Here is a 25,503-nt window from a genome sequence, read left to right as displayed (position 1 = left end):
TTCTTCTAAGAGTTTTATAGTTTTTACTCTTAAGTTTAGGTCATTGATCTATATTAAGTAATTTTTATTATGGTCACATTGTTTTTTCTTTCCTTCACAACTCTGAGGGAAAGCTTGTAAGTCACATTTTCTTTCTTTCTTTTTTTTTTTTTTTTTTTGAGAGACAGTCTCTGGAGTGCAGTGGTGCGATCTCGGCTCGCTGCAGCCTCCGCCTCCCGGGTTCAAGCAATGTTCATGCCTTAGCCTCCTGAGTAGCTGGGATTACAGGTGTGTGCTACCATGCCCAGCTAATTTTTTTGTATTTTTAATAGAGACAAGGTTTCACCACATTGGCCAGGCTGGTCTCGAACTCCTGGCCTCAAGTGATCCTCCCACCTCAGCCTCCTAAAGTGCTGGGATTACAGCCGTGAGCCACCGTGCCAGCCCAGCCCACATTTAATGTTGATGTTAAGAATGTCTGTGGATATCCCTGACATATTATACAAAGATGGATTCACACAGTCCAACCTGTGAAAAGCAGGCTTTTTGCATCCTTGTTGACTAGATACCTAGAGTAGGTATTATCCGTGACCATTACATTTTGACTTACCTTGTTCATTTTCCCTGTGAAGTTTCCTTTTGGGTTTGAGCTGTTGAACACAGCATAAGGGAGACACCACTGCTGACTGCATATGAGACAACACAGAGACGTGCCATGCAAAGCAGGAGGCTGAAAAATATCTGGGGTCATTTTCAATTGTTAATAATGAAAGAATGCTCACAGGCCTGGTGCTTTCAAACTGGGTTGCAATGGTGTTAGTGGGATCTTGGGATGGGCTTGCGGGTGGGAGGTGCACCAGGTTCAGGAGCTCTGGGAGACTGGGCCCTGCACCAGCATTTCACTATTTGAGAACTCCTTCTGGCTCCTGCGGAGGGAAACTGTGAAGACTCCGAGGTGACCGGTGGATCCAGGGCAGCAGGATTAGGACCTCCAGAGTCCGGGTCTGGAACCTGACCTGTCTGAGGGAGGCAGAGTTTTAGTTTGGTTTGGTTTGGAGAATAATCTTTGGATTCCTCCCCCAGCTTCAACAATTATCATCAACTTCCTGATCAGGCTTCATCTATCTCCTCCACCTATTTAAAAAATTTTCTTTTTTTTTTTTTTCTGGAGTACAATCATGCACCACAGAGTAACATGTTGGTCAACAGTGGGCCACATATATGACCTGTGGACCTCTACAATTATAATACCATCGTTTTACTGTATCTTTTCTGTGTTTCGATACACACATACCTACCGTTTTATCTCAGTTGCCTATGGTACTCAGCACAGTAACAGGCTGTACAGGTTTGTAGCCAGGAGCAGTGGGCTGTGCCACACAGCCTGGGTGTGCAGTAGGCCGCCCCATCTAGGTTTGTGTAAGTTCATTCACTCTATGATGTTCACACAATGACACAATCGCCTAAGGACATGTTTCTCAGAATGCATCCTGTCATTAAGAGAGGCATGACTATATTTTAAAGCAAATTCGGACGCCTTATATTTCACTTACAAGTATTTTGTTGTTCATCTCTCAAGGATTAGGGCTTTTTTTTCCTTCCTGCATAACCACAACGTCATTATCACACCTAAGATTAACATGAATCCTTAATATTACAGAATTTCAACCCCAATTCACATTTCTCCACTTGTCCCTAACATGTATCATCTCATCCTGGCATTTCCCAGACTCCCTCTGGCCACTTCCTGGGAACGGGTCCCATGTACTCTGGTCTGAAGGAGCCATGTGTCTTCCTGGGGTGTATTAAAGAGCTGTGGACACCTGGAGGGGAGAGCAGCCTCACCGGCCGCTGTGGCGCATGGGTGAGCCGGCATCTCCATGGCAGGTGATAAGAGAAGCTGCCCAGTAGAGGAGGCAGGAGGGACATCAGGGCAGCAGCTCGGGGTTTTTTTCGTTGCTGTGGTTAGGAGCACAGGCGTGGGAGTGAGAGCCTCTGTTCAGGTCCTGGCTCCCGACCTCCATAGCTGTGTGATTTGGGGCAGGGGGCTTTACCCCTATGAACCTCCATTTCTTCAGCTGTAAAATGGGTATGAATAAGGGTACTTGCTTTCTAGGAAATCCTGCACATAAAGCGCCTGATGGTGTTAAGTATCTGTGAGTGTTGGCTGTTGTCATTACCACGGTCATCATCATCATCATCATCATCATGAGGGTGATCCTTGTGTCCTGATGAAGGTCCTGGGCCACTGAGATGGCTGCCCTGGCACATGGCTGTCTCCCTGGGCCTCACATGGCCCAGGAAGCCAGGGTGACAAGAAAACTCAATGTTTTTAGGAGTAGCTCCTCTTCTCACACTGACAGCATTTTGGAGCCCAGTATGGCACCCGAATCCAGAAATTCTGGCAGAGTCTGTGCCGCATGCCTTTCTGGAGCCAGGATCTCTGTGCCTTTATCCTCTGGGGTAAGTCTTCTCATAGAGTCTTCTCTGAAGCAAGAGGGCACCCAGAAGGCTCTGGTACCCTCAAAAGGCCCATCAGTGTCTTTCCTGGCTACTTTGCTTTAAACCCAAGAATATCTGGCATCAAAGATAAAACAACTGGCCTCGGGTATTTTTCCCAAATATTAATTGAAAACATTAACTTGATTTCTCCAGACACTCTCTCTGTGGACACAGGAAGGGAGGGGTTGGCAGGCACAGGAAACGTTTGCCGCCCAGCTGGGACCCATTTCAGGGGAGCCCACCCAGATGTTTCCCGGACTGTGGGCCTCAGTGCTGGTGTGGGGGATACTGGATGGAAAGCACAACTTCCAAGTAAAAGGGAACAGAGCTAGGAAAATATGCAGAATCTGGGCAATGAAGAAGTGACATGTAGGTTGTATAAGAAATGGCACTATCGTTTTGAGTCTGGAGGCCAGTTCCTCTGCAGTGGACTCCTCATAGCCCAGGGGAACAGTTGTTCCAGTTAGTCCCGGATAACCCTAGGTTGCTTCCCAGGTGTCTCAACCCCTCACTGCATTCTCCTGACCCTCCAGGCATCTTGGCAACCCACTGATTCTCCTGGCCAAGCCCTGGTGAAGATGGCATCTTCCCATCTCACACATCAATCTCCTGTACAGAGCTCGGAAGGGGCTTTCATCTTTAATGCTCCAGTGAGGTTCAGGGAGGCCTGTCGGGGGCCCGCAGGCACTGTCTGGCTCAACTGATTGAGGCCCTGCAGGACCGCCCCACCCAGGCCCAGCCTCTTCCCTGCCTGTTCTCTCCGAGGCTAGAATCCCATGCTCCCTCCTCCCACACCCTGGGACCTCCCTCAGGTGGCATGAAGGGCCTAGGAGGAGGCTGCCTCTCTGATAACTGGCACCTGCCTTCTCATGTCTAGTTTTGTCTAAGTCTCAATTTTCTCATCTGTGAAATGGGGTCAATCACTCCTACCTCCTACGGCTCTCGCAAGCATCAGAGTGGCAGACTTCACCCATTAGCACCAGCATCCGAAAGAATCCCAGCCTGTGAAGCAAATGACTCGGGCTGTATTTCAACAAGGCTTTCCTCTCCCTATTCTACCTTCTCCAGGGAAGAGCGGGAAGGAAGGAGGGGTACGTTGACAGTTGCACACATACATGTTTTCACTCGCAGAGGGTTCAGGCTGTTTTGCATTTCTAACACGAACTTCGGGTGTCCTTCAAGGTTTTTGCTTCCTGATTAGGCAACATGCACAGTGATTAACCACTTCTCCCTTTGGGTACAAACTGTCTAAAAGACCCACTGGCGCCTAATAAGGAGACATGAAAGACACTCTTTTGAGGACGTTCTGCTTCTGCTGTCTGCTTTTCATTTAAACAAGCCATTTGTTTTCAGTCAAGATGGATTGCTGGGTTACATTGGTGACTCAGCACCCTGCATAAATATGGGTAAAACTAGAAGATTCTGTGACTCCAGTGGGGCAGGGAAGATCCATGCCTGACAAGCCTCTCTGCCTCTGCCATAGCATGAGTTGATGCCTTCCCCAAACCCCAGTCCCTGTTTCTCCTGCTCAGAGCTCTGTGAGCCCCAAGATGACTTCATGGTTTCGTTGTTTTCTGAATCCTTGGGTTGCCCTGAAAACAACCTCTTCCAGTAAATAGAAATAAAAGTGCTTCAAAGTCATGTCAACAGCCGCTATCTCTCAGCCTCTTATGGCGCTTTACTGTTTCCATGAGGCAGATCCAGCCGTCATTGCTTACAGAGCCCCTTCCACAGCCCCTGAGAATATCCGAAGCCACATATTCTGTTAACCCTACTATAGGGATGGGCAAAGTGAGGCCAGAGGAGTTGGGTAACACAGGTAGAAAATAACAAAGCTAGGATTGGAAACCTGACTTTCTGACACTTTGGGTTCAAACCCTGGCTCTACCACTTTATATTTGGAATCTCAGAGAAGTAGTTTAAGTCATGTGAGTCTTAGTGTTCTCACCTGCATAACAGAGAAGTTAACAGTGTCTGCACCAAAGGGAGGATGAGATGACATTGCACCTAGGAGGTCCCTAGCATGGTGGCTGGCACAGAGCCAGTGGGCCCTGGCACTGTCTCTGATCTGGCCAAAGTGGCCCCGCCCATGTTGTTGACAGGCACACACCACGCACATCCAGGGCCCTTGTGGAGTTCACAGAATGCTGCTGGTTACAGCGCCACAGTGGAAGAGGAGCACGGCAGGCAGAATCTAAGACAGCCCCGAGATTCCTGCCCCCAGCGCACACGCTTTGTATTCTCTTCCCTTAAGTGTAGGCAGGTCCGTGGATATGATGCGGTATTACTCTCATGATTATGTTACATTATATAGATAAGGGAATTTGCCATTTGTTCAGTGAAAGGGCAAAGCGGCCCCCAAATACCAAAGGAGCCAAAAAACCAAAGAAGAGGCACACAAATCCAGATTGTCAGTAAAGGTTGATTTATTGGGGAACTTACAGACAGAAGCGTGGTCTTGGGTGGCTGCAGGACAGGTAGATCTCCACTCTGTTACTCAACAGACCAAGGGCTCTTATACCGCTGGGAAAGGGGTATGTGCTCCAGGGAGACAGTGGGAGGCAGCCCTACAGAACGGCAGGCATGCTGTATGCGCCATTTCCTATTATGACGCCTATTATTTGTGGAGTAGCATCAAGGTTGACATGTTCTTACACTAGGGACAGTAAACAAAGTAGAAATCAGGGGACATTCACAGGACTAGGGCTAATCAGAATTCAACATGGCAGATTAGCGTCCAAGATGGAGTCACTGTTGTGTCCACACCAATTGTAATTAAGTTTACTAATCAGTTGACTTCAAGTTTGCCGAAAGGGGGATTATTCTGAGTGGGCCTGACCTAATCACATGAGTCCTTTGATTCTGGGTCTAAAGATCAGAGATAGACGATGTCCAAGGAATTCGAAGAATTAGAGGCCTTCGCAGGGGTCCTCCCAGCCAGGAGCTGTGGGCAGCCTCCAGGAGGTATGAGTGGCCCCCAGCCAACAAGCAAGAAAAGGGGGCATATGTCCAACAACTGCAAGGAACTGAATTCTACCAACAGCCACAAAAGCTTGAAAGAGGCCTCTGAGCTCCAACAAGGAGCACAGCCCTGCCAGCACCAAGATCTCAGCCTCGTGTGACCCTGAGCATAGACTTGTGACCTATAGAAACTGTGAGTTAAGCTTTAAGCTGCTGAGTTTATGGCAATTTGTTATGCAGCAACCGAAAACTAACACAACAGGCAAGGCCACTATTGGGTAATCGCATACATTTTATATTGCCGCAAACAAATTACTGTAAAACATAATGGCTTACAAAGCAAGCATTTATTATCTTGTAGTTTCTGAGAGTCAGGAGTATAGGCACAGGGGCTCAGCACCTCTGCCTCGGGGTCTCTGCCTGTACCCCCTTCACCAAATGTCCCCATGGCTCATTCCTTCACTTCATTTTGGTTTCTGCTTCAATGGCATCTTTTCCAAGAGGCCCTCCTGGACATGCCAGCACCCATCACTCTCTGTCTCCCATATGGCCACTTAATTTTGTTTTCAAAACACATGTTATGTGTTAAATTTAACATATCCCAAAAGATATGTTAAAGTCCTAACCTCCATTGCATGTGAATATGACCTTATTTGGAAAGAATGTCTTTGCAGAGGTAATCAAGGTAAGATGAGGTTGTACTGGATTAGGGTGGGCCCTAATCCAATGATTGCTGTCCATTTAACACAAGGGAAATTTAGACGCAGAGACAGATACACAGGAAGAATGCTGCCATGTGACTGTGAAGGCAGAAATTGCAGTGATGGATCTACAAAGCCAAGGAATGGCAGGGATTGCTGGCAGCCACAGGAATGTAGGAGGGGCAAGGAGGGACTCTCCCCTAAGCCTTCAGAGGGAGTGGGGCCCTGCCCACACTTTGATTTTGGACTTCTGTCCTCCAGAACAATGAGACAGTAAATTTCTGTCGCTTTAAGCCAGAAAACTAATACAGTGCTTATTACTATCCGCTCCCCGCCTCCTGTTCTGTCTAGTTTATGGTTTATAATCTGTGTTCCCTGCTGGAATGCAAGCTTCTTGGGAGCAATTGATTTTCTTTTGTTTGCTTTGGAATCCCCTGTACCTAAACTGGTGCCTGGAAAAAAGGACTCAATAAAAATGTACTGAGTGAATCGATGAATATTTATTTAGTAAAAACGTGTTCAAAGATAAGTCCTCTGTATGCCATGTTCCTCTACAGTTAGAAAGGTTAAGAAAGAAATACGACAAATTCACTGATTTGTTTCAATACAAATTTTTTTTTTTGACATCTCACAAGGAGAGAGAAGATACTGTGTTTTAGGAAGAAATATTTTCAATAAAAACCTCAAAAATGAAATCCAGTAAGTTAATTATTTAGTTATGAGTAAGACCAAGGAATAGGACCTTTTACCATTTATTTTATATGTAGCCCACTGCTATATTATCATAAAATATTTGGGAACTAAATTTCACTGACTGCGTGTTTTTGGAGCAGGTCACAGTTTCACTGAAAACAAGGAAAGAAGAACTAGGCGGGATAACCCTTAAAATCAATGATGAGAGAAACTGAGACAAAATTCTGGCTTTCTGAGGCTCCTTTGAGAGTCTGATGAAAGCCAAGGACTTGGACAGAGCTGCGCATTGATGGGAAGTCACACGTGTAATTTAAGGGTTGTGAAGATTTCCTGTAGCCCAGGTTAAGAACTCTTGCTCTGGAGAATGTTTCAGAGTAACTCCGTGTTCCTTGCTGCGAACACCCTCAGTTCTCTTGATGACGTCAGCTTTCCTGTGGCCGGGGGTGAGGTGGGTAAAGTGTGTCTACATTAAAGCTCAGCACAGTTTCTTTAGGTTGCAGGGAAATAAAAATGATTTGACCCCTATTAAGGGAAATTAACTCATTTGAACACAAAATTCATAATCTGGTCTGGTTGTTCAGCATCTTTCTTTCGAAGCTTTCAAAGTGCTTCTTTTTAAAGCAACCATAAATAAAACCCCATAGGGGTGCTGGATGACAGTGTCAGCGTTCATGAGAGGCCCACTCAGTGAGGTTTTGGGAGTGCAGGGGTTTCGCTAGGGTAAGGCTGATCATAGGTGAATGTTGGAAGAGTAGAAACAGTATAGTCAGTCGTCCCTTGGTATCTTCAGGGCATTGGTTCCAGGATCCCTCATAGGTACCCAAATCCAGAGATGCTCAAATCCCTCATATAAAATGGCATAGTATAATCCCAGCACTCAGGGAGGCTGAAGTGGGTGGTTTGCTTGAGCCCAGGAGTTCAAGACCAGCCTGGGCAACATGGCAAAACCCCATCTTCACAAAAAATACCAAAAAAAAAAAAAAAAAAAAAAATTAGCCGGATGTAGTGGCTCATGCCTGTAGTCCCAGCTACTCTGGAGGCTGAGGTAGGAGGGTCATTTGGGCCTGGGAGGTCAAAGCTGCAGTGAGCTGTGATTGTGCCACTGCACTCCAGCCTGGGTGACAGAGTGAGACCGTCTCTACAAAAATAAAGTCAAATGGCGTGTACTTGCATTTAACCTAAGTACATCCTCCCTCATACTTTAAGTCTCTAGATTACTTATAATACCTGATACAGTGTGAAAGCTATGTAAATATTGTTCTACTGTATTTTTATTTGTATGATTTTTTGTTGTGTTGTGATTTTTATTATGATTTTTTTTGGGGGGATGGCGAAGAGAGTCTTGCTCTGTCACCCAGGCTGGAGTGCAGTGGCACAGTCACAGCTCACTGCAGCCTTGACCTCCTGGGCTCAAGCGATCCTCTCGCCTCAGCTTCCTGAGTAGTTCGGATCACAGGTGCGTGTGACCACATCCGCTAATTTTTTAATTTTTGTAGAGATAGAGTCTCACTCTGTTGTCCAGGCTGGTCTTGAACTCCCAGGCTCAAGCAACCCTTCTGCCTCAGCCTCCCAAAGTGTTGGGATTACAGACATGAGCCACTGTGTCCTGCCTGTGTATTTTTTAAAAATATTTTCAATCTGCGGTTGGTTGAGACCGTGGATGTGGAATCCATGGATATGGAGGGCTGACTGTTCACTGGCTTTTGGATAAAAATCCCAGCTCTTCCACTGACAAGCTGTGCGATGCTGGGCAAGTCACTTAAGCAGCCAGAGCCTCACATTTCCCATCTACAAAATGGGAATACTAACACTTACCTTTAAGGGGTGGAAATTAGGACTGATGCATTATAAGCACCTGGCACCCATGGATGCTGCTGCAGCCGTTGCTAATATTATTAATATTGACAGTGCCTTACCTTTCATAATGTATAAGCCATATCTGACTGTGCATCAGAAATAGCTGGGAAGCATTTAAGAAAAATTACTGGGCCCCATCCAAGAACTCCGGAATCAGACTTTCTTGGAGTAGAACCAAAGCATGCTGGCACCTCACTTGCTCCTCCAGGTGCGCCCCACACCCTTATCCACCTGCTCTGGGCCCCAGGAGGCTGACTCCCCATTGGGACAAAAGTGCACATTGGGATAGACTGTGGCTCCCCATTGGGTCTCAGTTGATTCGACTGAGAGTCAGGATGGATCAGCAAAGGGATGTTCCTTCAAGCCCCTTTCCCACAGCTTTTCCATGCAGCTTCCTCTCTTCAGCGCCTGCAGTCCTTGGGGTTGTTTTAAACAATACCCAGGATTTTTATTTAAGACAGGGTCTCACGCTGTTGCCCTGGCATGATCATAGCTCACTGCAGCCTCGACCTCCCCAGGTCAAGCCATCCTCCCTCCTTGAGCTCCCACAGCACCGGGATTAGAGGTGTGAGCCACCAGGCCCGGCCTGCACCCAGGATTTTAATCAGCCATGGATTAAGATGACAACCATGGAGACAACTGCTTGAAAGAAGAGTTTCTTACTGACGATTCGACAGCACAACAGGACCATATGGGGAAGCACCGGAGTCAGTCAGGGGGTGGAAGGAGCTGGGGCATGGACTGTGGGAAGGGAGGGGCGAGGCAAGCTGAGCAGGGTTCGGATTGGCCAGTTCAAATAATTCCAGTGGGCTCTGGGCTACAGGGCTGGTCTCTAGCTGTCACATACCTGGCCCATGGGTGATGAGGGCAGGGGTGTGAGAGTTACATAAAGCGGGTGGTTGGGGCACAGCTTTGGCTTGGTTGGTTTGATAGGGAGAGGCAGGTCCAAAGGCAAGGTGCTTGCTATCTCTAGGAGTTAGCTAGCCCCAGGAAGGGAGTCTCTCCCTGGCCAGCAAGGCCCAGAGATGTTTCACAGCATCAGAAAATATAAAAAGCAGGCCAAGGCACAGTGGCTCACACCCGTAATCCGAGCACTTTGGGAGGCCGAGGCGGGTAGATCACCTGAGGTCAGGAGTTCAAGACCAACCTGGCCAACATGGCGAAACCCCATCTCTACTAAAAATACAAAAATTAGCCAGGTGTGGTGGGTGCCTGTAATCCCAGCTACTCAGGAGGCTGAGGCAGGAGAATCACTTGAACCCAGGAGGCTGAGCTTTCAGTGAGCTGAGATCGCACCACTGCACTCCAGCCTGGGTGACAAGAGCGAGACTCTGTCTCAAAAAAAAAGAAAGAAAACATAAAACGCATGATTACTCAGGGGTGATAAATGCACCCACTGTTCCAACCTCTGGGAACTGCACTGTCCCTTGTGCACAGCTTCCTGAGTAACTCTCTCTTAACTGCTCTGCAAATTAGCCATTGGGGTGCCCTCTGTTTCCTGCAGGGACCTGACCAATACACGAGGAATCCCCAGGTGATCCCAAGGCAGCCAGGCACTGGAGCAGATGCTTTTTCAGAACCACTTCGTGCACTGCACAGAGCTGAAAGTTAGCAAAGCTCAGAGGGTCTGGTTGGATCTTCACAGTAAGTCTATGGAAGGAATATTTAGGAATGGACAAAAGTGCACACTCTGGGGCTCCTGAGGGTTCCCAGGTGACCGCAGCAGCCTTCACACAGGCTTCTCCAGCGCAGCTCTCAGCATGAACGGCCGCTCAGTGGGGCCCTGGAGGCGGTGGGCTCCTTGAGACAGGAGGTATCTGGGTCCAGTGTCTTATGGGAAGTGCCACTGTATTCTGTGGGAGCCTTGATGCTTCCAGGAATACTGGGGAAATTTCGGGATTTCCAGCCCAGCAGGCAGGATGCTTGTGTCGTATGAGCGGGTGTTTCCCCCATGGCCTCGTCTTTGACCCACGTGCTGGCTTCCATCCCCTCCCTGTCTTGCACCTCTGTGTTCTCTCTCACCCTCTGGCCTGTTAATGAGCTTAGATTTAGACCTTCCCAGTCTTCCTGCAGGGGCCCTCTGCTCGACACTGACGGCTTGCCGTGGCTTCTGGCTGGGGTCTGGGTGGGGAGCTGGGAGTCCTCACGTCCTGGGTTTTAGGTGGTTTGTCTAGGCAGTCTTTCCAGTGAGGAACAGTTCTAATTGGCGGTGGGTTTCCAGGGGTCTGCTCGGCTTATGGGCACTGTGCTTGCCCAAGGACACTGGCTCCTGGCTAAGGGAAGACATGGGGCAGGGGGCGTGGAGCCAGGTGGAGTCAAGAGCTCACGGTAGCGGACCAGGAGGGACAGACGCTGGATGGCCAGCTCAAAGCAAGCTTCGTCCCTGAGAAGTGCCTGGAGGAAGAGCTGCACCAGGTGTTGACCAACCAGGACTTTGCATTAATTTATGTGTTTAGCCCGCCAGCTGCTCTGTTAGGCAGATGTCTGCAGGCTGAGCCTCTCAGTGTCTGGATATGGAGATGATGGAGTACTTTGGAATTAGCAAGATAAAGTTTTAAAGGGACTGATTTAGCTGGCTAGAGTGACTGCTTGCACCGGTAGACAAATGGGGTGGAAATACTTTTAAATGAACTGTGATGATTGCCATGAGAAAGACCAGTGAGAGGAGGTGCCTGGGAAGATAAAAATCAAACCCAGTTAGCATGACGAAAGCTCCCTTCTGGCCTCTGCACAGGGGATGAGTGGTTGGAGACGGTTCCGTGGCCCGACCCTGCGAGACCATTAGGACTTTCAGGGGGAATGGCCACCTCCTCCCCACGACCGATTCTGGTTATCACCAGCGGCAGGCAGCTTCCCTCGGCGAGGGTCCTCTTGATGGCTCTGCAGACAGGACGGGGGCTCTCTGAAGAGGGGAGGTACTGGCGGAAGTCCCCTGGGCTCCATCAGAAATGTGGTTGGACATGAAGGCAGGTCCCAGCTGCCAGCTGCCCGGGGGAGCCCAGCTCCCCCGAGAGTGCTCAGCTGTGGTCTTTCCCCGGGGCCCCAGCTACAGACTGCCCATCGGCCCCTCACCATCGAACATCTACTCTTGGAACTGATGCACCTGCAGAATTGGAGTTTCAGCCTTCAGCATGTGTGTGTGATGGAGCTTCGTAGAATGTGGTGGGGCTTAGAACAACAGTATCTCAGAGGAAGGATGTGCATCTCCCAGGCCAGGCTGGGACCAGGGAGGGATGGACGGGAGAGGAGCCGCAGGAGCCTGCTCACTGCGCAGTGTCCCAGGGGTAACAAGCTCCTGCCTAATCATGTTCAAAGTTAGGAATTCGTCCCCTCCTAGGTATACCCCCAAAGGAAGAACACGGAGACCCAGACAGGTATTTGTACACCTAGGTTCAGGGCAGCATTGTTCACAGTAGCCAAAAGGTAGGAGCAACCCACGTGTTTATCAGAATGGATAGACACAATGTGGCCTGTCCACACAACAGGATGCGGTTCAGCTTTCAGACGGAAGGAGATTCTGACACGTGCTGCAACATGGACGGACCTTGAGGACATGGTGCTGAGTGAAATAAGCCACACACAGAAGGACAAACACGATATGATTCCACTTATGTGAGGCACCCAGTCATCAAATTCATAGAGACGGAAACCAGGATGGTGGGTGCCACAGGCTGGGGGGAGTGGGGAGTTGGTGTTTAATGGGTGCAGAGTTTCAGCAGGGGAAGATGAAAACGTCCTGGAGGTGGAGGGTGCTGATGGCTGCACAGCAGTGTGAATGCACCTGATGCACTGAGCTGTACCCGTAAAAATGGTGAAGATGGGAAATTGTATGTTATGCATATTTTACCACAATACTTTTTTTAATTTGAAAAGTTGGGAATTTATAAATTAAATGTGGGGTCCTGTGCCCCAGAACACAGTTGAGGAGAGCTGCAGGCTCCGTGACCTCGGACCCGGCCCTTCCCTCCAGGCTGCCTGGGGGGACTCGAGGGGAGGGGAAGCTGCTCTGCGTGTGGCCTGCAGCCTGAGGTCAGCTCAGAGGGACGGGGCCGGGTGAGGCCTGGGTGTGAGCAGATGAGGGAGGCAGGGTGAGGATGAAACGAAATAATCATCTCGTGCCCTGCAGGCAGTGTCTAGCCCACAGGAGACGGAGCCGTGGTTGTTGATATTCTTGCATTCACCATCATCACACTGACCCCTAGCCCAGTCCATCGCCCTTTGACCCACGTGCTGGCTTCCATCCCCTCCCTGTCTTGCACCTCCGTGTTCTCTCTCACCCTCTGGCCTATTAATGAGCTTGGATTTAGACCTTCCCGATCTTCCTGCAGGGGCCCTCTGCTCGACACTGGCGGCTTGCCGTGGCTTCTGGCTGGAGTCTGGGTGGGGTCTGGGTGGGGTCTGGGTGGGTGTGTTCATCCTCCGTGAACACACAAGCACACCCCAAAGCCGGCGCTCTCTTTCTGGCACTCAGATTTCTCACCATCTTTTCCAGCTATGGAAACCACTCCCAACATAAGGAACACACCGCCCCAGAGGCTGTTAGGTGATGCGTGGGTGGGATATTAAATACGCCTGTCCGCTCCAGAGAGCATCGCCGCCTTCCAGTTCCTTCTCAGTGGTGTCAGGAGAAAGGCTCCTGTTGGGGCCCGTGTGTCGCTAACGCCTCTGCAGCGCCTGCAGTTTCCCTTTGTCACTAGCATGGAAGGCAGGCCTCGGACTCCAGCCTGCTGCAGTATCCGCTTATAATTTCATAACTTCCCTTCTTTGTATTTATTTTTAGAGTTTCTTTCTATTTTTGGCAAGTGGAACTGGTTTTTTGTTTACCATAGTGTATAATGTTTACTTTAAAAATAACTTTTAAAAATGAGTCAATTAAAAAGAATTAAATCAGTACTAGGAGAAGAGGTCTGTGGCTCTGGCAGAAATCACGAAGCGGGTGTGCCGTGGGGTGGGGATTTGGCAACACACAGCTGCAAGCTTGAGAGACCTAGAGAATTTCCACACATCCTTCAAACCCTCGCACAATGGGGACCTCCTCTCTGTGGTTCCCTCCGACTACCGCCCCCTAAACAAGACAACACACATAGCTATTAGAGCACAGATTGCACTCTACACAAACTGCCTCCGTGTAGTCCGGCTAAAGAACACACTTCCTAAGGCAGGGAGTGGGGTAGGGTCACCCTGCATCACCAGCCCCCAGCTTAGCGTGGCCCAGAGCAGAGTCAGGGAGCGTTTGTCACTTAGAGGCTGCTGGCCAAGGGGGTGGAAGGGTCTCCACCAGGGGCAGGGAAGGGCAAGACCCACACATTTCTACAAGGAGAGGTCAGCGTCCCAGACCTTCCCAAAGGCCTCAGTGGTTCAGGCAGCAGAAGTTCCTGTTCCTGTCCCTAAAGATGTCAGGTCAGAAAAAGAATACTGAGCTAGCTCCCTGTGCAAGTGAGGGGACATAAAAGAAGGACCCCAGCTCAGGGTTCAGTCCACATGTCTCAACTCACCTTCTCACGAGTTTCTCCAACTTAACCTCGTCGTAACAGCAGTTGTATGTGCTGCCACGGCATTTTACGTATATATATACATATAATGTCACTTATTCTCCAAAATAAATCAACAACACAGGGACTATTATCCCCATTTTACAGCTGGGGAAACTGAGGCTGTGGCTTCCCCTGCAGTCACACAGCTAGGCTAGGGACACAAATCGACATCTCCTAACTCCAGTATCCATTCTGCTGCCTTCCTCGGACTTCCGTGTGCCCAGCTGACCCCCAGACGTGGCTGTCCTTCCACCTGGCCAGCCTGGCACGGCCAGAGCTGCTCCAACAGTCCTTCCCAGCTGGGCTGGAAATGTAATGGATCCCATACAGACACCCATTTGGCTCCAGATGAATGGTAACCATGGCTCAGGTGTTTTCCAGCATGGCCAAGGGGCTGCAGGCTGCAGGGCCATCCCCCGCAGCAGCAGGGACACAGGAAACAGCAATACGTGGGTCCCTGGACTGGTGAGACCCAGAACCTGGGGCCTCTGACATCAGGGCTCAAGGTGAGGGTGCTGCCTCACATCCTGTTCCTCTGGCCCCTGGAAAGTAGTAAGGCCAGGGATGCGCAGACCTGTCTCAGTTTCCCGTAGCTGAGTTTGAGAGCTGGGACCTTCCAGCTTAGGAAGCCTTAGAATCAACACAGGACGAAAGGTCCAGGCTTGCTTTTGTGACGGCTTTAAGAAAAAAGAACTTGACTTTTTCAAAACAAGCTACTATGTCAACAGCAATGGTGACAACTACCATTGCTACTACCAGTGGCTAGCAAGCGCTGCTCTGTGCTCTGCAGATGCATCAAATCCTCACCACCCCCACAGGTCCTGTCAATGCCCCCATTTTAAAGATGTGGAAGTGGAGGCCGAGAGGAGGGAGGAGGCTGGAGAGGCATTTAGAAGGCCTCCAACACCGGCGAAGATGGGAGTGAGTTTGCGTTGCAATGCCTCTGAGGCCCACGGCTTGGAGGCCGATGTGTGTCTCCCAAGATGAGATTCATGGGGGTCGTTCACCAGGATGGGATTCAGGAAAGAGGTGGCGCAGAGGGGAGACTGAGGGACCAGGGTGATGTGGACACGATGGCCTTGAGGTGCACTCACCCCGAGGCTCTACTGTGTTTTGTGTCCTGAAGTGTGCGCTGAGTTAGACTCGCCATCCGGAGCAGGCAGGAAGCCAGGCAAGCGGCGAGTCCACACCACCGCTGGTTGGTACTGACCACCCCACATCTCCCTGCCCCTGCACGCCAGTCCCTCAGAGGACTCACTGCTGTTGAATCCCCAGGACAGTCTACTTCTTTACCGTGTGTAGCACGATCACTCTGCCTCCCCATCTCGTGAGGACGTGACCGCCACCCCGCGGGGACTTTGCTCTTCTGTTCACTGCTGCGTTCCCGACACCAAAGGGCTCAGAGCCTGCTAGAATATTCTAGAGAGGGGCAGAAAGCACGCTGAGGCCAGAGTGGGCCTCTTCCTATTTCAGGCTCTGAAAGTGGCCCAGTCTTGCCCTGGGTGCTGTGGGCCTGTCCACCAGGAGGGCCTCCTCGAGGCTGCACAGCAGGCTTGCTCGGAGGCCCATGTCAGAGGGGTTATCTGCCTCTGTGTGAAGAATGCTTTTAAACCCATGCCTGGGTTCCTGACCTTCTGAGAGAGAAAACAGATGCACCATTTAACCCTCCTTGCTCCAGAGGAGCCCAGCATCTCCAGTTTTAGGGAGTCCGGTCACGCTAAAGAATGTCAGGCTTTTGCACCCTAGGGGTTAACGACAGCCTGGTGTTCTAAGTCCCAGAGCTCGCTGCAGGATCTCCGAACCCCCAGCCTCTGAAGCTTTCACCTGTCAGCGTTCTGATTAACAACTGGAAGGCCGACCCCTGTTTTCTGATGGGTTCCGTGTACACGCTGTGCAAGGCTGTGAAGGTGGAAATGCTATTTTCTTTTGCCACTGGGAGGTCAGGAGCACTTAATAAGACCCCTGGCCCCACCTGGCTGGGCTTTGGATATGATTTTTAAATCAAGTGAACTATTTTTAGGGCCCTACTCAAAGCTACCTCTTCATCCATGTTAATGATCATGCATCAAAACCGTGTTGTCATTTACAAGGCGTTGTTCCATAGGCAGCAGTGGCATTCTGGAAGGAGACTGAGCTTAGAGCTGAAGACTTCCGTTCAAGCACAGAGCCACTGTGTGACCTTGGGCAACTGAGTTAACCTCTCTAAGCGCTGCTTCCTCATCTACAGAACTCTGCCACATGGAATTGTTATAAGGCTGAGGCCTCACGGGATCTGAGAGCTACACCCAACATCTGGGGCAGTTTTGTTTGGCTTGCAGTGTCTTAAAGCATTTGAATCATTAACCATTTAAAAATTTAGGTGCCCTTTAAAAATCCAGCTTTTTCTATTGTTTAATGGTGAAGTGGGGAAGCTCTAGCAGCACGGAGCCGGCTTTCCTGCACTTCCACGTCAGGGCTGAGTGACGGCCGCAGCCTTCACAGGTAACCTGGGGCTGGACCTTACGAATAGCAACGTGCTTGTAATCATGTGTGTTACACCAGGAAGAAGCTATTTATTGTGTCTAAGTGGGGTACGTGCACATTGAAACCACTCAAGTGACCATCAGCGGCTGAATGGATAAAGAAAATGTGGTATATGCATATGATGGAATAGTATTGAGCCCCTAAAAGGAAGAAAATTCTGATGCATGCTCCAACAGGGATGAACCTGGAGGATATCATGCTAAGTGAAATAAGCCAGACACAAAAGGATACATACTGCACGATTTTACGCATAGGAGGTCCCTAGAGTAGTGAAATTCATAGAGAAAGTAGAGTGGTGGGTGTGGGCTGTGGGAGTGCCGAATCGGGAGTTAGTGTTTAATGGGTATAGCATTTCAGTTTGGGAAGATGAAAGAGCTCTGGCAGTCGACGTGGTGATGGCCACAAGGTATCGCGGATGCACTTAATGCCGCTGAGCTGTACGCTTAAACGTAGTTAAGATGGTACATTTTGTGTTATGTGTATGTTACGGCAGTAAAAGGGGGTAGGTGAACAGCTCCTGCCAACTGGTGTTGGGGAGGCGGCAGATTTCTCCCCATGAGCCTGTGGTTGTGCTCACGCCCGGCCGGGAGGCCCACAACAAGAGGTTCGTTCTGCAGCCTGAGGTCTCTGCACGCCCAGGCTGGTTTCTGAAGAGCAGCAGGCCTCCTGGTATTTACGCTGCATGGACCAGGCAGGCCAAAGGGCTCATACCTGCACAGTGTCCGCAGCCACAAAGGGAGGACCAGATGTTTGAGCTCTTCCTTGTTTATAAACAAAACGTCCGTTCCCATCCAGACCCCCTGTGTTTACACCGCGGCAGGGCTGGGGGCCACCGTGCACATTTGGAAAGCATCCTTGGGGAAGCCTGTGTCCCGCTCGCCTCTCAGCTGTGTGACGGAGTGAGTTCATCAACTTCTTCTCCCCTGGCATCCTCATCGGCAAAGCAGAGACACTAACAATACCTGCCTCATAGGTTGGGGTCCCAGTGGCGGTTTCCAAAGTGCGGGGGACAAGGTGTGGCATGCAGGGAGTGCTCCTATTATCGTGATTATTGTGGTTTTTCCTGCATCTTTTCCTGCCCTTTCCTCCCATCCTACTCCCACACCTTTCCAGACCCGGTAACAGTTTCACTCCACCTCACGGCCTCAGCCCAGGAAGAGAATACCAAATCCACATACATCTTGACCTTTCTCAGAAAAGAAACTTATTTCCACACATCTGATGAAAAGCAGTTTTCTGAAACACTTAAAATTCAAAAATGCTTATTTATTTTCTGGAAAGAATAGAAAGAAATCCTTAATTTACTTGCATCTTACCTAGCCTGAAGTAAAAACGGTGCTTGTAGCTTAAGGGTATGCAGCTCTCAAGATAACTGGAATCTTTGGAGCAAAAAAGCCCATCCGTGCTGCTGAAGTTCAGATGCACTTAAAAAAATAGTTCCCTTTGTGTCGCTGCGCGGTGAGGCGTGAAATTGCACCTAACCATCTGCTGACGTGGCCTTTGCACATTCCAGCCCTTGCAACCTTTGGGTAAGGTACATGGTGCCAGCCTTCAGCTGGTTCTGCTTTGCTAATTATTCCAAATAAAGAGCAAACGCCGCCTTCCTGTTTCTCTCCTCCTCGTTCCGCAGTCATCTGCTGTCCGTAAATTTTCACCAAGTTTCACACCAGTTTCCATTTTGGCTCCAGCTCTGAAGACGGAACCATGGGGACATTTGTTAATGAAAAATCTGGGAAATTTGATGTGGGAAACGTTCTTTTGCTACAGGCATCTAATTGTTGAGAGGATCTGACTCGTAATTTGTAGTTAAATTTGTTAAATCCCGGAAGGTTTTGATTTTTTTGTTTTTGTTGTTTCAGTAATGCAGAGTCAAAATTAAGTTAAAAAATTGTTCTACCTTTGTATTTGGCCTGGTCGTGCATTTTCATCAGCTGTTATGGATGGAGGATACTGAATAGCACAACAATAGTAATTTGGGGATTACTCAATGGGGGTGATTTATAGAAACTCGAAGCTCTTAACATAATGTTTTGTTAAAAATGCTTCCTCTTGTTGTGCCTGATTTAATACAGATTCTTCTCTTTTGTTCTTTATTCCTTTAAATGACTGAAGTAAGTTAAATGCATACAGGTTTATCTTAGCCTCAAATGCAAAGATAAAAGGAATCAATATGAAAAGCACCCTATAAGTTACATCAGTGACAGAAGAATGTTGAATTTTCATTACTGACCAGAGTAAATGCCTCAGCTGCTTTTGTTTAAAAGCTGTGTTGGGGATTGGGCCTGATTGCTGGGTGGGGGGGAACCTCTTGGAGACTCCATGTCATCTGTGAAATGACAGTAATAAAACCAGAGTTAAATTATGTGGAAATGTTTACCATGCATGGCACAGAGGAAATGTTGAGTAGATGGCTACTTATATCACAAGCCCCTCCTCCCATCCTTCCAAAATGCTTAATAAGCTCCTACTATGAGCCAGCAGCTGTGCTGGGTGCCAAGAACACAGTGCTGTGCAAACTCACCAACTCAAAACCAATTTGCAGTGCACCGTCTGATTGCCTGGGCAGGAACTTTCGCGGCAGCTCCTTGAAGTACCACAACTCATCCGCCTCTTCCCTGACATTTCCTTCTGTTCTTGAACTTGTGTAGAATTCATTGTCTGTGTTCTCCAATTTGCACCCCTATATTTTCCTCCAACATGCCATTGCTGTCTTGAACCCCTGTTATTTCGAATAGGATAAAAAACCCTACCAGTGTCCTCAATATGTACGGAGAACATGTTGTGTGCTTGCCAAGACTTCATTTTATCCTCTCACAAACTCCCTGTTAGGTGAATATGGTTCTCTACCTTGTATTACAGGTGAGGAGACTGAGGCAAATTGCCCAAGGCCGTGAGCCAGCAGGAGCTTCTGTTTGTAAGGACTGTTGCATGCTGGCTACTCCGGTCTCTCCAAGTAGACAAATCATTTAAAATACCCTCAAAGCATTCCCACAGTTATCTAAGCTATTAAAAAATGGTTTGTACTTTCAGAGGGCATTGCCTGCTCACCATGATGCCGAATAGGCCCTCCTTGGGTGGACTCTCCCTGTGGCTAACCAGGCCCAGCGACTGCTAGAGCCCAGTTTGAGAAAGCTAGAGGCACTGGGGATGGCAGGTCCCTTGGCCTGACTCTACTCAGCTCCTCTTCCAGGCCTGTGGGTGATGGGCCTGTCTTTGCCGCGGCTGCCCCTTGTGGTGGAAACAGCCATTACAGCTAGGAGAGGTCACCAGGACATGGCCAGGCTGGACTCGTGGCGGTGGCCAGCCTGGGCACACACTGATGCTCCTGTGGAGAGTCCTTGTGGCCACAAGGTTGGGAGAAGTGACTTGTTCTTGAGGGGCGAAGCAGCACGAGGAATTCGGCTCCTGGGCTGCAGCCAGTTCCCATCTCTGCACAATTTCGTGGAAGTCCCCTGGTCCTGCTGCCAAAAATGTAAAGTGGCTTGTTTCTGTTCCCCAACCTGCCTTAGAGGGCAGCTCTCTTAAAGGGCTGCCATCCGACTTTCCCATGGGAGTTTATGCTATTTATTTCTTTACGTTTAAAAAAAATGGGGGCATGAGCTGAGACCCCCACAACTTGAATGTTATAGAATAGGGGAAGGGGCAATCTTGGGTGTCTCTCTTCCCTCCCGCACTGACTGAAGACCACAGGGCAGCATGGTCTGGGGCTTGTTTTTTTATTTTTGTCCATATATCCTAGCAACATACGGCTGGTAAGACCTTTTATAAAATGTGGAGGCCAAAAAATGTCCATGCATGCCAGGGGAACAGGCATAAGATAAGAAAAGCAGGGCAAAGGGATTCCGTGGATTTTCACTGGAAGCAAAAGGCAGCCAGCTAGGGTGGGATACTTGTCAGACTGCATGGAAAGCATCTGGGAAGCCGAGGCTGCTCAACAGTGGGAACCTGAAAGCTGTTTTCCCGTCTAGAAGAGGAGAGAGCCACACCAGGATTTGGACATCTTTTACTATTTCGCCCTCTCACAGAAGCTCTTCTGAGAGCCCAGATGATGTTTCCCAGTTTGGATGAACAGGTTATTAGGATTATTTTCTCCACTTGACAGAGCTTTCCTTACAGATCCCAGCAGCCCACCTGGCACTGCCCTGTCTCGGTGGCTAGACGGCTGGTCCATCCTACTGGGATGGGCAGTGCCATGCTCATCTTTGCCAAGGGCTTTTTTCTTTGTGGTTATTTTCCCCTTGGGGTAAAGAACTGTGGGTGCCATCTGTCTGTGCCTGGGGAAGGTGCTTCTGTAGTAGGTCTGCTGTGAATTGTTTAGTTGATAAAATCTGGGGGTTCTGCATGGCAAATCCTCTGAGTTCTTGGCTGTTCAGGAGACTGTTGGAAGTGATTAGGAAAAGCAGAAATAAACACACTATGAACATCACAGCTGGGCTTTCCCTAACAAATCCCAGGTTCGATGCTTTTAAAAATCTATTTCTATAATTATAAACTAAGGCATACACATAATAGAAAACAGAAAATATAAAGAAGGAGATTTTAAAAACACCCATTATACCACCATAAAGAGATAACAGTTGTTATTAACATCGTATTGAATTTTCTTCTTTTGGCTTCAAAATTGTATGTGTGCGTATAACAAGACAGAACACTCTCTATTAGTTTTGTAGCTTTTTTCCATCCTGGCCATATCATGAACATTTCTCCATGTCATTAAATTGTTTAGGGAAAAAAATCTTATTTGAAATGTCTTCTAACCCTTTTTATATTAATTTTTTGAGACAGCATCTTGCTTTGTCACCCAGGCTGTAATGCAGTGACACAATCTCAGCTCACTGCAACCTCCAACTCCTGGGTTCAAGCGATTCTCCTGCCTCAGCCTCCCAAGTAGCTGGGATTATAGGTGCACGCCACCACGCCCGACTAAGTTTTGTATTTTTAGTAGAAATGAGGTTTCACCACGTTGTCCAGGCTGGTCTCAAACTCCTGACCTCAGGTGATCCACCTGCCTTGGCCTCCCAAAGTGCTGAGATTACAGGTGTGAGCCACTGCCCCCGGGCCCCCTTTTTATTATGGAAAAATTTCAAACACTGTACGAAAGTAGAATGATGTGAGCCCCACATACCAGTCACCTGGTTTCTGCAATTACTAAATCACAATTCTTCTTGTTTCATATGTAAACATCTTGTTTCCCACCTATTAGCCACCTGGGTAATTTGGAAGCAAATTATAGACATGTTTATTGTTTTGGCAAATATTTAGTATAAATATTTAAAAGTCAAAGGCATTTTAAAAAATCACCAAAATACCATTTATTACACGTAAACAAATTAAAAATTAACAAATATTTAATTTCCAATAGCAATCCAGTTGATGTGCAAGTTCCCCAACTGTTTCATGATTCTTTGGTGGTTTGAATCAGGATCCAGTCAAGGTTCCCATATTGTGATTGGTTCTTGAGTCTGCGAAGTCTGATTTAGCCCACAGGTTTTGCCTCCTTCCCTTTAATTTTTTCTTACAATTTATTTGTTGAGAAAACTCAGTCCCTTGTCCTGGAGTTTCCCACCACCTGGATTTTGATGATTGTCTTCCTGTGGTGTCATTTAATAGATTCCTCTGCCCCTGTATTTCCTGTAAACTGGTGGGTAGATCTGCAGGCTGCATGAGCTTCAGGTTTGGTTTTGGGGGTAAGAATATTAAGTGGTGGGGTGCACGCCCCACAGGAGGCACAGAATGAAGGTGTTCCTTTTTGTGACGTTCACTGCTGTTGATCATGCTTGCCCAGATCCATTCTATAAGGATTTGTAAAATAATGGTATTTTGATCCTTTTACTCTTCTTCGTTGTTTTGTTTATTTTTTGTTTGTTTGTTTGTTTGTTTTGTTTCTTGTGTTTTTTTTTTTGGAGACAGAGTCTTGCTGTGTTGCCCAGGCTGGAGTGCAGTGATGCAATCTCAGCTCACTGCAACCTCCACCTCCTGGGTTCAAGTGATTCTCATGACTCAGCCTCCTGAGTAGCTGGAATTATAGGCGTGCACCACCATGCCCAGCTGATTTTTATAGTTTTAGTCAAGACGGAGTTTCACTATGTTGGCCAGGCCAGTCTCGAACTCCTGACCTCAAGTGATCCACCCGGCCTCCCAAAGTACTGGGATTACAGGCATGAGCCACCGTGCCCGGCTCTGTTACTCTTCTTTCTTTATTATCTGGAATACTTCTACAAAGAGAACTGCACCCCCGCCCCCTGCATCCACTGTTCAGCTACCCTGTGGTACAGTTCACTTAGGAACAGCAGGATGGATGTTTTTATTTTTTCTCCCTTATTTACCAATTTTCCAAATAATGAGTTTGTTCCCAGCATCCTCCAGAAGTGAGGTCAATCGCAGTTATTTCTACTGACACCCAAGGGTTCTCATCTTTGGACGGTGGGAGCTTCAGGGTGGCATGTGAGTCCTTTTGACATGACCCTAATTGTCCCTGGTAGTTTCTTTGCTTCCACTATGACAAGATGGTCCAGACTGACCTTATCTGTTCTTTTAAAGAGGAAATATATAGAGACCACAGTGAATATGGGTGCTGTGGATACCCATTGAAACTCATTAGTTATTAGGCCTTTTCAGCACAGAACTAGAAAACGTTTGCCTATTTGTTTTTAAGATAAAATGCATCTTAAGTGCATGCTGCTGTTTTCAGTTTAAATTCAAGGCTACCTAGTTTTACTTAACATGATCTTTTACTCTGGCTGAAAATCCTGCCTCTCAGCAGCAGCACCTAACTCACTTGCTTTATTCCATGATACACATGCAGCAGTCTGAGGATGATAATCACAGCACTGCCTCCAACAATCTGTGAAATTGTGTTACCAAACGCAATTTAAGTGGCTTTTGGTTTTGTTTGGGCACTTCTTTTTGTTATTAAGGAAAACCTTTTTAATGGGGGCATAATATTCCATATTTGAAGTAAAATTTTTTTCTACTTTTGAACATTAAGATTACATTGAAATTTTTGCTATTATAAAGAACTCTGTGGCCGGGCGTAGTGGTTCGTGCCTGTAATCCTAGCACTTTGGGAGGCCGAGATGGGCGGATCACTTGAGGTCAGGGGTTCGAAACCAGCCTGGCCAACATGGCAAAACCCCGTCTCTACTAAAAATACAAAAAATTAGCCGGGCGTGGTGGCGGGCACTTGTAGTCCCAGCTACTCGGGAGGCTGAGGCAGGAGAATTGCTTGAACCTGGGAGGCAGGGGCTGCAGTGAGCCGAGATTGTGCCACTGCACTCCAGCCTGGGCGACAGAGTGAAACTCTGTCTCAAAAGAAAAAAGAAAAAAAGAATGATGTGATAAACATCTTCACCTTTGACTTTTATTTCTGTTCAATCTTTTAGTCCAGACTCTTAGACTGAAGTGAGATAGTGAAAGAGAGTAGATGTGTTTAAGTGCCTCAGACACGTGGCCCACACCTTTTTTGGAACAAGGTGTGCATGGAAGGGCCTGTATCCCTGCACCATGATTAACATTTTTCATTAACTGTAATAGTAATGAATGGTTCTTTACCAAACAAACCCAAAACAGGGTGTGTTGTTTTATCTCTGCATGTTTACATTATCAGCCATAGGCTTGTTGGACGGTTATAGTTCCATTTTGAATTGTCTGTGGAGGGGAAATCAGGGAATTTTCTTGCTTTTCTTACTGATTTGCAAGACATTTTTACTATCTTAAGAAAAACAATCCTTCGTTACGTTTGTTGCAAAAATTTTTCTCACTTTGTCACTTGCCTTTCAGTTTTTATCATTTTTTTTTCTAGTACAATTTTAAAACTTTAAACTCTGGAGTTTGTTTATTTTGAGATGGAGTTTCGCTCTTGTTGCCCAGGCTGGAGTGCAATGGTGCGATCTCGGCTCACCGCAACCTCCACCTCCCGGGTTCAAGCAATTCTCCTGCCTCAGCCTCCTGAGTAGCTGGGATTACAGGCATTCGCCACCACGCCCAGCTAATTTTGTATTTTTAGTAGAGACGGGCTTTCTGCATGTTGGTCAGGCTGGTCTCGAACTCCCGACCTCAGGTGATCCGCCCAGCTCAGCCTCTCAAAGTGCTGGGATTACAGGCGTGAGCCACCATGCCCGGCCAAACTCTCGAGTTTTTTGACTGTTTCTCTCATTGTCCAGTCCCATCTGATATCGGTTACATGTTTCGCTGTATTTCCTTCTGGTTTAATATAAAGCTTCATTTATTTTTTCCATTTTTATTGTTTATTCCCTCACTACAAAAGTAATCCATGTTTGCCATGGAATTATAGAAGCCTAGGGAAGTATAGAAGACTTCATTTATTTTTACGTATAACTCTTTGAAAATCTGTAACTTATTATGGTGGCAAGGTTGAGGGAAGGATATGACTTGAGGATCTTCCATATAACTGGTTGTTCTAACACCATCTGCAGAACAATCTGTGTTTCTCTCCTATTGTACCCGAAATTGTTTGGTATATGAGAGTCTTTTCAAAATCTGCACCAAGTGCCCATTTGTTTCAATTCATGTGGTTATGTAATCCACCTTAACAACTCAAGTCCCTTTCTTGTTATTTTTCCTTTTCAAAAAATTGTCTTAGCTACTCTTGCCTGTTTATTCTTCGAAATACACCTGAGAATTATTCATTAAGTTAAACCATCTCGGTGGTCTATTGATTGGAATGGCCTTAGGTGGAGTCTGGCTTCCTCCTGATGGGCGGGCGAGCTGAGGGAGCCAGTGTCAGACATAGG

General features: G+C 47.8%; 1 protein-coding gene and 1 long non-coding RNA gene across 12 annotated transcripts in view, besides 3 other annotated features; both read left to right on the top strand.

Annotated features, from left to right (window-relative positions):
• The window catches only part of COL23A1 (collagen type XXIII alpha 1 chain), a 352,776-nt gene that overhangs the window by 109,104 nt on the left and 218,169 nt on the right, over positions 1–25,503 (top strand). The gene's annotated exons all lie outside the window — the stretch shown is intronic.
• Positions 8,450–25,503, top strand: part of LOC124901148 (uncharacterized) — a 34,203-nt gene continuing 17,149 nt past the window's right edge. Inside the window, exon 1 of the long non-coding RNA XR_007059080.1 lies at positions 8,450–23,194. This is a non-coding gene — a long non-coding RNA (uncharacterized LOC124901148). The remainder of the gene's footprint in view (positions 23,195–25,503) is intronic.
• Positions 11,828–11,979: a silencer, noted in NCBI's record as "fragment chr5:177896312-177896463 (GRCh37/hg19 assembly coordinates)". NCBI's record gives its function as "represses an EF-1alpha promoter that drives an FKBP-Casp9 reporter gene in an ReSE screen in HepG2 liver carcinoma cells {active_cell/tissue: HepG2}" and the evidence as "EXISTENCE:reporter gene assay evidence [ECO:0000049][PMID:32094911]".
• Positions 15,090–15,970: an enhancer, noted in NCBI's record as "H3K4me1 hESC enhancer chr5:177892321-177893201 (GRCh37/hg19 assembly coordinates)". NCBI's record gives its function as "activates a minimal SCP1, AML or CMV promoter by ChIP-STARR-seq in naive H9 embryonic stem cells {active_cell/tissue: H9 hESC(naive)}" and the evidence as "EXISTENCE:reporter gene assay evidence [ECO:0000049][PMID:30033119]".
• Positions 16,965–17,464: an enhancer, noted in NCBI's record as "H3K4me1 hESC enhancer chr5:177890827-177891326 (GRCh37/hg19 assembly coordinates)". NCBI's record gives its function as "activates a minimal SCP1, AML or CMV promoter by ChIP-STARR-seq in primed H9 embryonic stem cells {active_cell/tissue: H9 hESC(primed)}" and the evidence as "EXISTENCE:reporter gene assay evidence [ECO:0000049][PMID:30033119]".

Source organism: Homo sapiens, chromosome 5 (assembly GCF_000001405.40).
Source record: "Homo sapiens chromosome 5, GRCh38.p14 Primary Assembly".
Classification (NCBI taxonomy): Eukaryota; Metazoa; Chordata; class Mammalia; order Primates; family Hominidae; genus Homo; species Homo sapiens.
The sequence above is the reverse complement of the archived record's forward strand: the minus strand, read 5'-3'. Positions and strand labels throughout refer to the sequence as shown.